The 16,702-nt window shown below is 44.5% G+C and overlaps 2 long non-coding RNA genes and 1 pseudogene across 4 annotated transcripts in view; 1 reads left to right on the top strand and 2 right to left on the bottom strand.

Annotated features, from left to right (window-relative positions):
* The window catches only part of LOC440895 (two pore channel 3 pseudogene), a 20,885-nt pseudogene extending 15,332 nt beyond the window's left edge, over positions 1-5,553 (bottom strand). For both annotated transcript variants that reach the window (NR_027143.3, NR_027142.1), the window contains exon 1: positions 5,398-5,553. The product of NR_027143.3 is annotated as a two pore channel 3 pseudogene, transcript variant 1 (transcript). The remainder of the gene's footprint in view (positions 1-5,397) is intronic.
* The window catches only part of LIMS3-LOC440895 (LIMS3-LOC440895 readthrough), a 70,143-nt gene that overhangs the window by 15,332 nt on the left and 38,109 nt on the right, over positions 1-16,702 (bottom strand). Inside the window, exons 13-15 of the long non-coding RNA NR_027145.2 lie at positions 16,300-16,524; positions 15,171-15,268; positions 5,398-5,879 (exon numbers count right to left, since the gene is read on the bottom strand). This is a non-coding gene — a long non-coding RNA (LIMS3-LOC440895 readthrough). The remainder of the gene's footprint in view (positions 1-5,397; positions 5,880-15,170; positions 15,269-16,299; positions 16,525-16,702) is intronic.
* LOC124907865 (uncharacterized) lies at positions 5,873-16,702 on the top strand. The gene is made up of 2 exons (XR_007087176.1): positions 5,873-6,203; positions 15,936-16,702. It is a non-coding gene; the product is annotated as an uncharacterized LOC124907865 (long non-coding RNA).

The following is a 16,702-nucleotide window of genomic DNA, read 5'->3' as shown; positions in this document are numbered from 1 at the left end:
GGAAAAGCACAGTATTTGGGTGGGCATGTCCTGTTTTTCCAGGTACAGTTTTCACAGCTTCCCTCAGCTAGGAAAGGGAAATCCCCTGACCCCTTGCACTTCCCAGGTGAGGCGATGCCCTGCCCTGCTTCAGCTCACCCTCCATGGGCTGCACCCACTGTCCAACCAGTCCCAATGAGATGAACCATGTACCTCAGTTGGAAATGCAGAAATCACCCGTCTTCTGCATCGATCACACTGGGAGCTGCAGACTGGAGCTGTTCCTATTTGGCCATCTTGGAATGGACCCTCCCACGATTAATCTTTTAAAGTTCACAAATGATTTGAACATGCAGTCAAGACTGAAAACCACTGATGTAAATATAGCCATTTTCCTAGTATTTCTTCTATTTTCCTTTCCTTTCTTTTTTTTTTTTTTTTTCTGAGGCAGGGTCTTACTCTGTTGCCCAGGCTAGAGTGCAGTGGCATGATCATGGCTTACTGCAGCCTCCACCTCCAAGCTCAAGCGATTCTCCTGCCTCAGCCTCCTGAGTAGCTGGAGCTACAGGTGCACGCCACCATGCCCAGCTAATTTTTGTTGTAGAGACAGGTTTTGCCATGTTGTCCTGGCTGTTCAAAATCTCCTGGGCTCAAGCAATCCATCCAGCTTGGCCTCCCCAAGTGCTGGGATCACAGGTAACAACCACTGCACCCCTCCTGTTTTCTATTTTAATTGCACCATGACAATAATTGCCTTCTCTTGATTTTCTCTTTCTCTTCTTCTCAGAGCTGTGATATTTATTTTCCTCCTCCCAAGACTTAAAAATGTTGTTAAGGATTTTGTGTTTTCTCTTCCATCCCCACCCCTCAACTCAGTAAGCCTTCATTCTGGGGAAGATGAATCCCTTGGAATCCCTTAGAGGGTGAAAGGAATGCAGGAAGGAGGGAAAGATAAGACTCCAGAGGCTCTCAGTGGAGAGAGCAAGAAAGTTCCTTCTCTATGAACCCAGCAAACGCCTCCTTCAGTATTAACTGTGGTAGTAATAAACCATTGTAAGCCCCCAAATACCTTTAAGTCAGTCAAAAATAACCTAGGCAAAATGCAAAGTTGTTGATAGAAGTGTTTTGAGGTCAGGTGTGGTGGCTCACGCCTATAATCCTAGCATTTTGGGAGGCCAAAGTGGGCGGATCACGAGCTCAGGAGATCGAGACCATCCTGGCTAACCCAGTGAAACCCCATCTCTACTAAAAATACAAAAAATTAGCCGGGCGTGGTGGCGGGCGCCTGTAGTCCCAGCTACTCGGGAGGCTGAGGCAGGAGAATGGCGTGAACCCGGGAGGCGGAGCTTGCAGTGAGCCGAGATCGCGCCACTGCCCTCCAGCCTGGGCGACAGAGCGAGACTCCATCTCAAAACAACAACAACAACAAAAAAAAAAAAAGAAAAAGAAAAAGAAGAAGTGTTTTGAAAACAGCCAATATGTCTTGGTTATACAGGTAAGAACATTAACATAATTAACTATAACTTAAGGTAAAGAGAAGTTCCCATAAATTTTAAGTTAAATTCTTCCACTTCTCCATTTTTCTTTCCAATTCCAATGCTCCTTTCCTTACTAAAAACACTACACAGTAGTCCCCCCTTAATTGAGAAGAATAGGTTCCAAGACCCCCAGTTAGTTCCTGAAACTGAGCATAGTACCAAACCCTGTATATACTATGTCTTTTCAATCTGATAACCCAACAGCTACTAAGTGACTAGTGGGCAGGTAGTGTCTACTGCATAGATACGTGGGACAAAGAGATGATTCACGTCCCAGGTGGACAGAGCAGGACATCCGGAGATTTCACCATGCTACTCAGAACAGTGCACAATTGAAAACTTATGAATTGTTTATTTCTGTAAATTTTTATTGGATATTTTTGGACTGCAGTTGACCTAGAGTAACTGGAACCGCAGAAAACAAAACCAAAAAAACCATGGATAAGAGAGGCTACTGTACCTTCTGTCTCCCTCAGTACACCGTGTCCTCCCACAAGCTCTTCCTGCATACTGATAGAATAGATTACTGCTTTCCTCATGAGACCCCCCCATTCAAAAGCATCAGGTGATTTCTCTCTGCCTAAAGCGATTTCTCTTTGTCCAATCGAGTGCAAAACCCTTGGCTTAGCATTTGGGGGCTCCACAATCTCTCCTCTACTCCTGTCTCCAATTTAATCTCCCTCACTTCCCCTATAGGAACACTTTTCTCTGGCCAAAATTGGTGGACTTGTCCACTGTCCCTCTATGAACCCACCTCCGTGCCTGATCTCACGCTCACTTAAAACCAGGAGTATTTTTTTCCACTTTCCTTCACTGGACACCTGTCTCAAATTTCACTTTCTCCATGAAGATTGGCAATCCCAGCAGCTTCTATTTCCACACAAAAAGACTGCCTGGAAAAGCTGGGGTCTTGACACACATTGTGGACATTTTATACGAAGAAACAGCTGCGGGGGATAGGACAGGGCACAGCAGTTGTGGGAGAAGGGTGACTGAGTAGGTGGCAATGAGGTATTAGGGTAAAGACCTTATGTTCCTCTATAAAGAAAGTAGCAAACCAACAACTGACAGGCCAAGTGCAGCCTAAAGTTGTGTTTTGTTTGGCCCAGAGAGTGTTTTTAGATGCTGGTTACTCATTCCAATTTTTTAAAAGCTGGAGCTTACACAAAAATTTGAACTTCTGGCTTCGCTTTAAAAGATTATAACATTCAGCCATGCTGCGCTGTATTTCAATAAGTTTTTGCTACCCACCCTGATTCTTGGTCACCTAAATAAACACTTATTATTTTCCCCAATTCTGTGGGTCAGCTGGGCAGTCCTGGTCTGGGCCAACTTAGCTGATCTCTGTGGTCATCTGGGACTGGATGGTCTAGAACAGCCTTGCTCACATATCTTGGCCATGTGCGTCCTGCAGCAGGCTAGCCAGGGCTCTTCCACGGGTCGTGGTCAAAGTTTCCCAAGCGCATCAGGAGAGCAAGCACCAATGTCTGAGTGCCTTTCACACCTCTGCCTGTATCCCATCTACTAATGTCCCATCAGCCAAAGCAAGTCTCATGGCCAAACCCAGATTCAAGCGCTGGAGAAACAGATCCCACCTCTTGATATAAGGAGTTGCAAAGGCACATTGCAAAAAGGGTATGTATTCAGGGATGGGAAGACTTTCTGGCCATTTTTGCAATCTATGATAGCCGTGGTCAACTGGAGGTGGGTAGCTGTGGTCTTCTTTGGGCAGGGGACATGCCATCAGGTCATCACAAACCCCACTCCTCTCCCTCACTGAATCATTGCTACCTAGCCCACTGGCTTTATGTTGCTCCTTGGACCACCTGAGTGGAACACTTTCTCAAGCCCTCCTGGTTACTGCAAACAACAGCTCTGCAAATTGCTAAAAGGGAGCACCAGTGGATTAAGACCGCAAAGCAGGGTAATGCAGGATCTGCACGAACAGGTTTAAGAACAAGAACATTCAAAAAGAAGCACATAAAAGTATCAAGAGGTTAACATAGAACTGTCACAAAGGAATGGCATAAGACACAGGCTCTCAACCCTGGTGGCACTTTTGAATCACTCAGTAGCCTGAAACTTACTACTGCCCAGGACGCATCCATATCAATTACATCAGAATCTCAGGGGTAGAGGCTGAACTGGATACAGTCCTAAAAGCTCCTTAGCTAATGCTAACCAATGGCAAAATTGAGAATCACTAGCATTGGGTTCTTTCTATTTCAAAGTTCAAAGTGTTGGTAAATTCCCCCAAAGAAGTAGATTGCCATCTTAGTAGCCAAAAAAAAAAGAAACTCCAATCACAAAAGAGTCTTAAAAATAAGTATTTGAAAGGAGAGGGGGTTAATGCATTTCAGGTGACTAGGCAGGTTCTAGTTACATGAATCCAAACTAATTCTTAAATAAGGTTAACCCAGTTATATTGGCCATTGAGTGCCCGAGGTCAGAACCTGGGGAGGGAAGAAGATCTAGATGCCTTCTCTGATTTAATGACTCAATCAATGATGTTATCTCAGATGGCAGAAGCAAGGCCAAAGCTGGGGACAAAGGAACTTCCCCCTCCTTTCCTTTACCTGCTCTCTCGAGGGATAGGACATATGGTAGAATGCATCTGTTGGATGTGGTCAAGCCCCTTTGGTGTGGAGGTTTTTCCATCAAAACCTCTCTGACCTGCAGGCCAGAGAGGGAGACGTATGCACCAGAGCTTTTTTTTTTTTTTTTTTTTTTTAGATGGGGTCTTGCTCTTTTGCCCAGGCTGGAGTGCAGTGGCACAGTGATAGCTCACTGCAACCTCAACCTCCTGGCCTCAAGCAATCTTCCCATCTCAGTCTGTGGAGCAGCTAGGATTACAGCCTTGAGCCACCTCACCCTGACTGGCAGAGCTTTTCAACTCCACACACAAGCCTGCCCTGTGGACCCTCTCCAGCAGGCTTCAAGAGCCCAGTGGGAAGCGGCAGGGGTGATAATGCAGCAGCCCAGAGCTGAAGGGGGCCAGTTCAAGACTAAGAGGGAGACTGAACAAAAACGCTCTCCACCTCCCACACACTTGCACAACGCAAAGGAGATGCAGCATGGACCCTGAGGGGTCTAAAGATTGGCTGTCATGACTGTGCCAGGCACTGTGCCAGGGCCTGACCGACGTTGTCACCCATGATCTTCATGACTTCTGACGGCCCATCATACTGTAATTCAGGCCTCAGATTTCCTGAATCAGAGCAGGGGCTCCTGCCATTGAAGTCCTGCCTCCCTCTCCACTGTCTTAGTTCTTGTCCAGTGCAAGAAAATAGATCAAGAAGGGTCGCTTGGAAGCTCAAACTCTTTCGAAGAAGCTCAGGCTATCGCAGCGAAACAGACCCTGAGCGGCTGCGCAGCCCTTCTGCTGTGTCCCGCAGGCATCGGAAGACCCGGGGCTGCATCAGCACTCCCGGGGCCCACATCCTGCAGCCTTCTTTCCGGGCGTTTTCCTGCTGCCTTGGAGTTCTGTGGGGACGCGCATTGGTCACCAAACAAGGGTGCGCGCCTCACTGAGTGAGGATGGCCCCTAATCTGGAGCCCCAGCACCGATCCCTGCTCAGCCCCGGAGAGTGGGAGGCTTGTCGGGTCGCTTGACTACAACGTGCGGGCTGCGCTCTAGCTGGCGGTGCGCCTCCCAGCTGAGCAGCCCAATGAGCAGGGAACCGAGAAAGACCGAAAGCAGAGGGGTTCCTAGTCCCGCTGACCCCCAAGGGCCCTCATTCTCTGCAGCCGGCCGTGGCTTCCAGCGGGTTCGCTTTCTCCCTGGGAGTCCCGGAGGCGCCCGGCACCAGGAGGGCAACGAAGGGGCAGGAGGCGCTGCCGTCCGGGCGCCCTCCGAGCACAGCCAGGAAGTCCTCCTTACCTCATGGGTCTGCGGCTCCTCGCCGGGCTGCGGGCGCAGGCAGCTCACCACCGCGGCTAGGCCGGCCCCGGACATCGCGGCGGCGGGCGCGGCGAGCGGGGATGCGCGGGCGTCGGGGCGGCAGCCGCAACGGACTCTGCCCTCCTCGTGCAGGCCGGAGGCCCCGCCTGGGCGCGCGGCGCTCGGTCCTTCACGTGACCGCTGCGGGTGGGCCTGCGGGCGGAGGACGGGCGACGGCGGGGCGGGCTCCCAGGCTCCGGCCCCTTCCCTGGCGGCGCGCTGGGCCCAGCGCAGGGAAGCGGATCCGGCAGGGACGGGGAGTGGGACGCGCGAGGGGCAGCAGGGGTAAGAGCTCGGGCGGGTGGCCGCGTGGGTTAAAGGTCAAAGGTCACCTCCGCAAATGGCACCAACTGTGTAGCCTGGCAGTGGGACTTTGTCCAGCTTTCTGATCAGTAGAATAGAAGGATGCCTTCCTCCAAGACCTGTTTGGAGAATTAAACCAGCTAATGTAGGAGCCACGGCTGCCGCTGGGGAGGGCCCAGTAATTATTAGTTCCCTCCCCGTCCTAGGGGACCCCCCAGGAGAGCGTAGTGTGGGCTCCTAGTGGGGCCTCTCGAGGCAAATACCTCCCGAGAGGGGGCGCGCGCCCTCCCCTCTTCCCATGGGGCGCCCCCAGTTCCAGCCTGACCTGGAACTCAGGGTTGCCAGAGCTGCTGAATTTTCAAGAGAAAGCGGAAATCTGAGTTTTAATGAGACCGCTCCTGATTTTTTAAAACGTTGATCATGAAGTTAAAACAATAATAATGGTAAGTACTTGCCGGCCAACTGTCAGGTAAGCCCTGGCGGGCAAAGCAGGTGGTCCTGGGCTCCTGTACCAACCAACTTCACTGACTCCTCCCAGAGGAGGGAGAAGCCTGGCGGGACTGTGACAATCCCTGTCACCTGGCATGAGGTGTGATGTCCCTCTGGGTGGTTCATCAAGACTTGGTGCTAGGCCAAGCCAGTGGCTCATGCCTGTAATCCCAGCATTCTGGGAGGCCAAGGCGGGAGTGACAAGTGAAGCCAGCTGGACTTCCTGAGTGCAGTGGGGACTTGGGGAACTTTTCTTACAAGAGGATTGTAAAATGCACCAATCAGGAACTTTTCTGTCTTACAAGAAAATTGTAAAACGCACCAATCAGTGCTCTGTAAAATGCACCAATCAGCGGTATTCTAAAAGTAGCCAATTGCGGGGAGGATTGAAAAAAGGGCACTCTGATAGGACAGAAACGGAACATGGGAGGGGCCAATAAGGGAATAAAAGCTGGCCACCACCGCAGCCGGCAGCGACAACTGCTTGGGTCCCGGTCAGCTTTGCGGAAGCTTTATTCTTTCTGTTTTCACAATAAACCTTGCTACTGCAGGGTCCCTGCCATCTTTAAGAGCTGTAACACTCACCAGCAAGGTCCATGGCTTCATTCTTGAAGACCAGGAACCCACCGGAAGGAACCAACTCCAGACACAAGAGGATTGTCCAAGCCCAAGAGTTTGATACCTGCCTAGGCAACATATCCAGACCAGATCTCTTTAAAAAAAAAAAGAGCTGGGCATGGTGGCAAACCTATAGTTGGCTAGTCTAGGCAGAGATGAAGGATGGCTTGAGCTTAGGAGGTTGAGGCTGCAGTGAGTGGTGATTGCACCACTGTAATCCAGCCTGGGCAACAGCAATACTGCTCTCTAAACATAAAAAATTAAATAAAGACTTAGTGCTAGGTGCTGATTTCTGGCAAGTTCCAGGTGGGAGACTGGCAGGCAGCATTATAGTCCTCTAAGAGAATTCAAACCCTAATTTCTGGGACTATGAATCTGTTACTTTACAAGGCAAAAGAGCCTTGTGGACAGGTTTCTAATCAGTTGACTTTAAAATAGGGAGGTTATCCTGGATTTATCTGGGTTGGCCTGGTGGAATCACCCTTAAACCCTAAAGAGCAAGACAGGGGAGAGGAGACATTTGAAGCTTATGAAAGACTCAGTGTGCCTGGATGGGACGCTGTTGCCTCGAGGATGAAGGGAACTGCAAGGAACTAAAGTTCTGCTGACAATTTGAATGAGCTCAAAAGTGAATTCTTCCCCAGGGCCTTGCAGAAAGGAACACAATTTGCTGACACCTTTATTCCCACCTTGTGAGACACCGAGCAGAGAATCCATGTGGCAATGTGTTATGCAGCATAGAAAACTAATACAGGACACTGACCTGCATTGCAACACCAGAATTGTGTCCTAGCTGGAGGCTGGCCTGCAATGAGAACTGCATGTGGCCACAGTTTCTCGGCAGGCATGCCAGGCATGGCACTTCACCCCTCTCCTCTGACTGTTACCACTCAGTTCTAACATCCCCTGAGAGCCCTTCCTCAACTTCTCCAGGCCAACAGGTGGCTTCCTTTCTGTGCTCACCACACCCTTCGTGAAAACAGCTACTTGGTGCTTCCTTTGATCTATGTGCACATGTTGCCTGCTTCCCACCAGGCCACAAGCACCTGTGGGAGGAAGGGAACTGGAAACATTTGTCTTTGAATCCCAAGCCCCGGGCAGACAGCAGGCATATGGTGGCTGAAATGGTAAAGTGAAATTTCTACCAATGTGTAATCAAAGGTCCTTGTCTACAAGGTATCTTAATTACCTTTTTTAAAAAAGAAATTCAGTAGTTTTGGGGGAACTGGTGGTTTTTGTTACATAGATAAGTTCTTTAGTGGTGATATCTGAGATTTTGGTGCACACATCATCCGAGCAGTGTACGTTGTGCCCAATACGTAGTTTTTTATCCTTAACCACCCTTCCCCCATTTCTCCGGTGTCCCCAAAGTCCAATTTGTAATTCTTATGCCTTTGAATCCTCGTAGCTTAGCTTCCAGTTATAAGTGAGAATATACAATATTTGGTTTTCCATTCCTGAGTTACTACACTTAGAATAATGGTTTCAAACTCCATGAGGTTGCTGTGAATGCCATTATTTCATTCATTCTTATCACTGAGTAGTATTCCATGGTGTATATGTATATATATGTACACATATACACCACGTTTTCTTTTTCCACTCATTGGTGGATGGGCATTTAGGCTGGTTCCAAATTGTTGCAATTGTGAGTTGTGCTGCTATAAACATGAGTGTGCAATATCTATTTCATATAATGACTTCTTTTCCTCTGGATAGATACCCAGTGGTGGGATTACTGGATCAAATGGTAGTTGTACTTTTAGCTCTTTAAAAAATCTCCACAGTGTTTTCTATAGTGGTTGTACTAGTTTACATTCCCAACAGCAGTGTAAAAGTGTTCCCTTTCCACCACATCCACATCAACATCTATTGTTTTTTGATTTTTAAATTATGGCCATTCTTGCAAGAGTAGGTAGTATCTCATTGTGGTTGTAATTTGCATTTCCCTGATAGTGATGCTGAGCATTTTTTCATGTGTGTGTTGGCCATTTGTACATCTTCTTTTGAGAATTGTCTATTAATTTCCTTTGCCCACTTTTTGATGGGATTATTTGTTTTTTTCTTGCTGATTTGTTTGAGTTCCTTGTAGATTCTAAATATTAGTCCTTTGTGAGATGCATAGTTTGAGAATATTTTCTCCCTCTCTGTGGGTTGTCTGTTTACTCTGCTGATTATTTCTTTTGCTATGCAGAAACTTGTAACTTAATTAGGTCCAATGTATTTATTTTTGTTTTTGTTGCATTTGCTTTTGGGTTCTTGGTAGTTAACGAACTCTTTGCCTAAACCAATGTCTAGGGTAGTTTTACTGATGTTATCTTCTGGAATGTTTATGATTTTGGGTCTTAGATTTTAAGTCTTTTTTCTTTTCTTTTCTTTTCTTTTTTTTTTTTTTTTTTTGAGACAATCTCACTCTGTCACCCAGGCTGGAGTGCAGTAGAGCAATCTCCGCTCACTGCAACTCCCAACTCTCAGGTTCTCATGCCTGAGCCTCCCTAGTAGCTGGGATTACAGGCACCCATCACCACGCCTGACTAATTTTTTGTATTTGTGGTAGAGACAGGATTTCACCATGTTGGCAAGGCTGGTCTTGAACTCCTGACCTCATGTGATCTGGCCACCTTGGCCTCCCAAAGTGCTGGGATTACAGTTGTGATCCCCCATGCTCGGCCTAGATTTAAGTCTTTGATCCATCTTGAGTTGATTTTTGTATAAGTTGAGAGATGAGGATTCAGTTTTACCCTTCTACATGTGGCTTCCCAGTTATCCCTGCACCATTTGTTGAATAGGGTGTCCTTTCCCCACTTTATGTTTTTGTTTGCTTTGTCAAAGATCAGTTAACTGTAAGTATTTGGCTTTATTTCTGGGTTCTCTATTCTGTTCCATTGGTCTACTTGCCTGTTTTCATACCAGTACCATACTGTTTTGGTAACTACAGCCTTGTAGTATAAAGTCAGGTGATGTGATGCCTCCAGATGTGTTCTTTTTGCTTAGTCTTGCTTTGGCTATGTAGGGTCTTTTTTGGTTCCATTTGAATTTTAGGATTGCTTTTTAAAGCTCCATGAAAAATGCTGATGGTATTTTGATGGGAATTGCATCGAATCCATAGACTGCTTTTGGCACCATGATCATTTTCACAGTATCGAGTCTACCCATCCATGAGCATGGAATGTGCTTCCATTTGTTTGTGTTATCAGTGATTTCTTTCTGTCTTGCAGTTTTTCTTGTAGAGATATTTCGCCTCCTTGGTTCAGTATATTCCAAAGTATTTTATTTTATTTTTTGCAGCTGTTGTAAAAGGGATTGAGTTCTTGATTTGTTTCTCAGTCTTGTTGTTGGTGTACAGCAGTGCTACTGATTTGTGTACATTGATTTTGTATCCTAAAACTTTATTGAATTCATTTATCAGATCTATGAGCTTTTTGGGTGAGTCTTTAGGCTTTTCTAGGCATACAATTATATCATCGGTGAACAGCAACAGTTTGACGTCCTCTTTACTAATTTAGATGCCCTTTATTTCTTTCTGTTGTCTGATTGCTTTGGCTAGAACTTCCAGCACTACGCTGGATAAAAGTTGTGAAAGTGGGCATCTTTGTCTTGTTCCAGTTCTCAGGAAGAAAGCTTTCAACTTTTCCCCATTCAGTATCATGTTGGCTGTGGGTTTGTCATAGATGGCTTTTATAACCTTGAGGTATGTCTCTTGTATACCAGTTTTGCTGGATTTTATCAAATGCTTTTTCTGCATTGATTGAGATGATCATATGATTTTTGTTTTTAATGCTGTTGATGTGATGTGTCACATTTGTTGACTTGTGAATGTTAAACCATCCTTGCATTTCTGGTATGAAACCCACTTGATCCTATTGTATTACCTTTTTGATATGCTGTTGGATTCAGCTAGTATTTTGTTGAGTATTTTTGCATCTGTGTTCATCAGGGATCTTAGTCTGTAGTTTTCTTTTATTGTTATGTCCTTTCCCAGTTTTGGAATTAGGATGATACTGGCTTCATAGAATGATTTATGGAGGAGTCCCTCTTTTTCTATCTTTTGGAATAGTTTCAGTAAGATTGGTATCAATTCTTCTTTGAATGTCTAATAGAATTCACCTGTCAGTCCATCTGGTTCTGGACATTTTTTTGTTGGCAAATTTTTTTATTATTGTTTCAATCTTGCTAATTATTGGTCTGTTCAGAGTTTCTATTTTTTCGTGATTTAATATGGGAGGAATTTATCCATCTCTTCCAGATTTTCTAATTTGTGTGCATAAAAGTGTTCATAGTAGCCTTGAATGATCTTTTGTATTTCTGGGGTATTGGTTGTAATATCTCCAGTTTCATTTCTAATTGAGCTTATTTGGATCTTCTATCTTCTTGGTTAATCTCAGTAATGGTCTATCAATTGTGTTTTATCTTTTCAAAGAAACTGCTTTTTGTTTCATTTATGTTTTGTGTTTTTAATTTTAATTTCATTTAGTTCTGCTCTGATCTTTGTTATTTACTTTTTTTCTGCTGAGTTTGGATTTGGTTTGTTTTTGTTTCTCTAGTTCCGTGAAGTATGATGTTAAATTGCCTACTTGTGCTCTTTCAGACTTTTTGATGTAAGCATTTAATGCTTTAAACTTTCCTCTTAGCACCACTTTTGCTGTATCCCAGAGGTTTTGATAAGTTGTTTCACTGTCATTGTTCAACTCAAAGAATTTTTAAATTTCCATCCTGATTTCATTGTTGACCCAAACATCATTCAAGAGCAAATTATTTAATTTCCATGTATTTGTATAGTTTTAGGGGGTCCTTTTGGAGTCGTTTCCAGTTTTATTCCACTGTGGTCTGAGAGAATACTTTATATAATTTCAATTTCCTTAAGTTAACTGACTTGCTTTGTGACCTATCATATGGTCTATTTTGGAAAATTTTCTATGTGCTGAAGAAAAGAGTGTATATTTTGCAGTTGTTGGGTAGAATCTTCTGTAAATATTTGTTAAGTCCATTTGATCCAGAGTTAGTTTAAGTCCATTGTTTCTTTATTGACTTTCTGTCTTGATGACCTGTCTAGCACTGTCAATGGAGTATTGAAGTCCCCCACTATTACTATGTTGCCTTCTATTTCATTTCTTAGGTCTACTAGTAATTATTTTATAAATTTGGGAGCTTCAGTGTTCGGTGCATATGTATTTATGATTGTAATATTTTCCCATTTAACTATTTCTTTTATCATTGTATAATGTGCCTATTGTCTTTTTTTTACTGTTGTTGCTTTGAAGTGTGTTTTGTCTGATATAAGAATAGATACTCCTGCTCACTTTTGGTTTCCATTTGCGTGGAATATCTTTTCCCACCTCTTTACCTTAAATTTATGTGAGTCCTTATACATTTAAGTGAGTCTCTCAAAGACAGCACACACTTAGTGGTGGATTTTTATTCATTCTGCCATTCTGTGTCTTTTAAGTGGAGCATTTAGGCCATTTACATTCAACATTAGTATTGAGATGTGAGGTACTGTTCTATTCATCATGCTAGTTGTTGCCTTAATAATTTTTTTCATCGTGTTATATAGGCCCTGTGAGATTTATGCTTTAAAGAGGTTCTATTTTGATGTATTTCAAGGTCTTGTTTCAAGGTTTGGAACTCCTTTTAGCATTTCTGGTAGTGCTGGCTTAGTAGTGGCAAATTCTCTCAGCATTTGTTTGGCTGAAAAATACTTTTCTCTTTTTCATTTACGATGTTTAGTTTTGCTGGATACAAAATTCTTGACTGACAATTATTTTGTTTCAGGAGGCTAAAGGTGGGACCCCAATCTCTTCTGGGTTGTAAGGTTTCTGCTGAGAAGTCTTCTGTTAATCTGATAGGTTTTCCTTTATAGGTTATCTGGTGCTATTGTCTCACAGCTCTTAAGATTGTTTCCTCTGTCTTGGCTTTAGATAACCTGATGACTATGTGCCTAGGTTATGGTCTTTTTGCAATGAATTTCCCAGGTGTTCTTTGAGCTTCTTGTATTTGGATGTGTAGATCTCTGTCAATGCTAGGGAAGTTTTCCTCAATTATTCCCTCAAATTAGTTTTCCAAAATTTTAGATTTCTCTTCTTCCTCAGGAACACCAATCATTCTTAGGTTTGGCCATTTAACATAATCCCAAGTTTCATGGAGGCTTTGTTCATTTTTTAAAATTATTTTTCCTTTGTCTTTGTCTGATTGGGTTAATTTGAAAGCTTTGTCTTTGAGCCCTGAAGTTCTTTTTTATACTTGTTCAAGTCTGTAGTTAAAATGTTCCATTGCATTTTGTGTTTCTCTAGGTGTCTTTCATTTCCAGAAATTGTGATTGTTTTTTCTTTATGATATCTATTTTCCTGGATAAATTTTCACTCATATCCTGTATTTTCTTATTTCTTTATTTTATTTATTTATTTATTTATTTTGGGTCACTCTGTCACCCAGGCTGGAGTGCAGTGGTGCAACCTCGGCTCACTGCAACCTCCACCTCCCGGATTCAAGCAATTCTCCTGCCTCAGCCTCTCGAGTAGCTGGGATTACAGGTGCCCACCACCACACCCGGCTAATTTTTGTATTTTTAGTAGAGACGGGGTTTCACCGTGTTAGCCAGGATGGTCTTGATCTCCTGATCTTGTGATCCACCTGCCTCGGCCTCCAAAAGTGTTGGGATTACAGGCGTGAGCCACCACACCTGGCCTTCAATTTCTTTACGTTCGTTTTCACCTTTCTCTAGTATCTCTTTGAATAGCTTAATAATTGACCTTCTGAATTATTTATCTGACAATTTAAAGATTTCTTCTTGGTTTGGATCCATTGCTGGCGAGCCAGTATGATCTTTTGAGGGTGTTCTAGAACCCTGTTTTGTCATATTACCAGAATTACTTTTCTTCCTTCTCAATTGGGTAGACTAATACAGTGGGGAGATCTGAAAGTCAAGGCCTGCTGTTCAGATTCTCTTGTCCCACTGGGTAACCCCTTGATGTAGTGCTCTCCCCTTTCTTCTAGGAATGGGGCTTCCTGAGAGCTGGACTGCAGTGATTGTTATTTCTCTTCTGGGTCTAGCTACCAGTGAGGATACCAGGCTCTGGACTGGTCCTGGGGGATGTCTGCAAAGATTCCTGTGATGTGATCTGTCTTCAGGTCTCCAAGCCATGGATACCAGCACCTGCTCTGGTAGAGGTGGCAGGGAAGTGAAGTAGACTCTGTGAGAGTCCTTGGTTATAGATAGGTTTAGTGTGCTGGCTTTCTTGAATGCTGGTTGTCATAACAGTGAAATTGTCACGTGGACATCTTCAGGACCTCTGTTTAGCCAGGATGTTGCAGGCAGTAGAATTAGGTGTTGTCTTCTCCTTCCTAAGATCAGCATTATTCTGTCATGAGTTGCTGTAATGGCTTGAGTTGGTTGGCCTCCAGCGACGAGGTGGCACTTTCAAGAGAGCACCAGCTGCCATAGTAGTAGGGGGCTCTAAGCTTGTCCTAAGGTGGCCAGGGTAAGCATTTTGGTTTCTCAGGTGATGGGCATGGCCATAAAGCTCCCAAGAGGTTCTGTGTTTTGTGCTGGGCTACCAGGGTGGCTAGGGAAATACCATCAAGTGGGGGCAGGGTTAGGTGGGTCTGGGGTCAGACTCTCCTTGGACAGGGCTTGCAGTAGCCACTGTGGGGGAATGAAGGAGTGGTTCTTAGGCTAATGGAGTACTGTTCTAGAGTGGATCTTGGCCCTCTGCTGTGTTATATAGTTTTCCAGGAAAGCATTGGATAGCCCTTAATACGAGCTCTCGCCCAGTTCCCAAGCAGTTGGCGAGGTCGGTCTCACTCCCACAGTGCTCCTGCTCAGGCCGTGAGCTACCCTGCTGAGAAAGCAAGCGTGGCTTAAGGACCTCACCCCTCCCTGTCTGCCCACTCTGCCAGCAGCAGCTCCTGCACTCCTGCACTCGCTTGCTTGTATCCACAGCAGTTCCCGCTCATCCTCCAGACTCTGCTCGAGAAAGTTTGTGCCCGGTCAAAACCACTACCAATTTCAGTTGAGAGCTTCCTTTGCCCTGCAACTCCTCTCCAGTTCCACTGGCTGCCTTCCCTGAGTGGCTGTGTGAGATACAGTCAGGGATGGCTTCCTAGGGCTCAAGCTGGAGACTGGGAGTCCATTCAAGGCACTTCCCACTACTACTCTCATACTTTTATTTTTCTTACATCTCCCTAAACTCATTTCATCTCTGGTTAAGATTAAATCCTTCTCCTATGATCTGGATTTTTAGATTCCCCAGTGGGGATGTGTGTTCAAAGGTAGGTTTCCCCCTTCTTACACTTTGGGAACTCACAGTTTTTCTCCTGTTCCACAGAATTTACAGTGGTGTGCGTCTTCTTTCAAAGGATCCGTGAATTCTTTTGGTTTTCCCAGTATGTTCCTATGATAGTTCTTGGAGCACAACAGGGTCACAGTGTGAGTCTCCACATGGTGTTTTGTCCATCCATGTGGGAGCTACACATTAGCACTGCCTCCTATCTGCCATCTTCCCCTGATCTCAACAATTACCTTTTATAACTGTTTATTGCGTGGATTACCAGAAAACTCTCTGGTGCTCTTGAGAAAGGACAAATATTCTAGGTCTATCCTAAGTGGTGACTTAAGGAATGATTGTTTTATGGCAAGATCTTTTAAAATGGCTTTATTTTTTAAAAAAGATAAATATGTTCATTGTAAAGAGTTGAAACTACTAATCAAAGTTAATCACTTGCACACACTTAAACACACTTGTATGCAGCTCTGTGGAGATGGGATTACATCCTACACCACAGACACTGCTGACCTCTGACCTACTATCCACACGCTTCCCACCCAAGATCCCAGACTTGGGTCAGGCATTCATCTCATCTCTCTCTTTAGAGGAGGATCCTGCTTAGTCCAGGCCAATCCACACAGGGCATTTTCCTGGCAACAGTTACCTATCTAAGGGAAGTACATGACTTTAGTTGGCTCAGCCTGACTAAAAAGAGCCATGAGCTTAGGGGGAGAGGTTTTCTTCTTCTCTTCCCTCCCCTTTTCCTATGAATGTAATTTTTAAAAAACCACATATTCCTAACAGCTTCTCCAGCCACCTTGGGTGAAGATGACACTGTGGATGGCAGAGGAGGAAGATACAAACAGCCAGGTCTCTGATGGCCTCTTCAAGAGACTACTTTTTGGTACCTGCATTCTTGGAACCATTTGGACCAACCTTCAGACTTAGAATTATGTGAGCTATATTGTATGACCCAGGAGACAGAATGAGGTGATCTGTACAGCCAATAGGAAAAGATCTACAAAATATCAAATGAGGATGGGAAGATAGTACCCTGCAGAGTTTGATTTATGCAGAATTTTAAAGGATGCATATACTTACATTTTCTGATAAATGCATAAAATATTTTCCTGGAAAGATCCATAAGTAAACTGTAATCAGTGCTTACCTTTGAGAATACAGCAGGAAGTAGAGGCATGAAGGGAAAGGGACTTTTTCTTCTCATTTTGTACTTGTCTATAAGTTTTTTTTGTTTTGTTTTGTTTGTTTGTTTTGAGACGGAGTTGCGCTCTGTTGCCCCGGCTGGAGTGTAGTGGCCTGATCTGGGCTCACGACAAGCTCCGCCTCCCAGGTTCATGCCATTCTCTTGCTTCAGCCTCCCTAGTAGCTGGAACTACAGGATAAGGTTTCATTTTTAACTGTATGCCTACATTACTTGTATGTGTTTGCAGAAAGTAAAATCAACAGAGATGTGGTGATAGAATCTAATAGCAATTTTGTCATTTTCATGAACAAATATTTTATGCAATGGAAAATATTAAAACTCTGGGAATAAAGCGTGTTAATGCCTG

This window comes from Homo sapiens, chromosome 2 (genome assembly GCF_000001405.40).
Source record: "Homo sapiens chromosome 2, GRCh38.p14 Primary Assembly".
NCBI lineage: Eukaryota > Metazoa > Chordata > Mammalia > Primates > Hominidae > Homo > Homo sapiens.
This window is presented reverse-complemented; position numbering and strand designations above follow the sequence as displayed.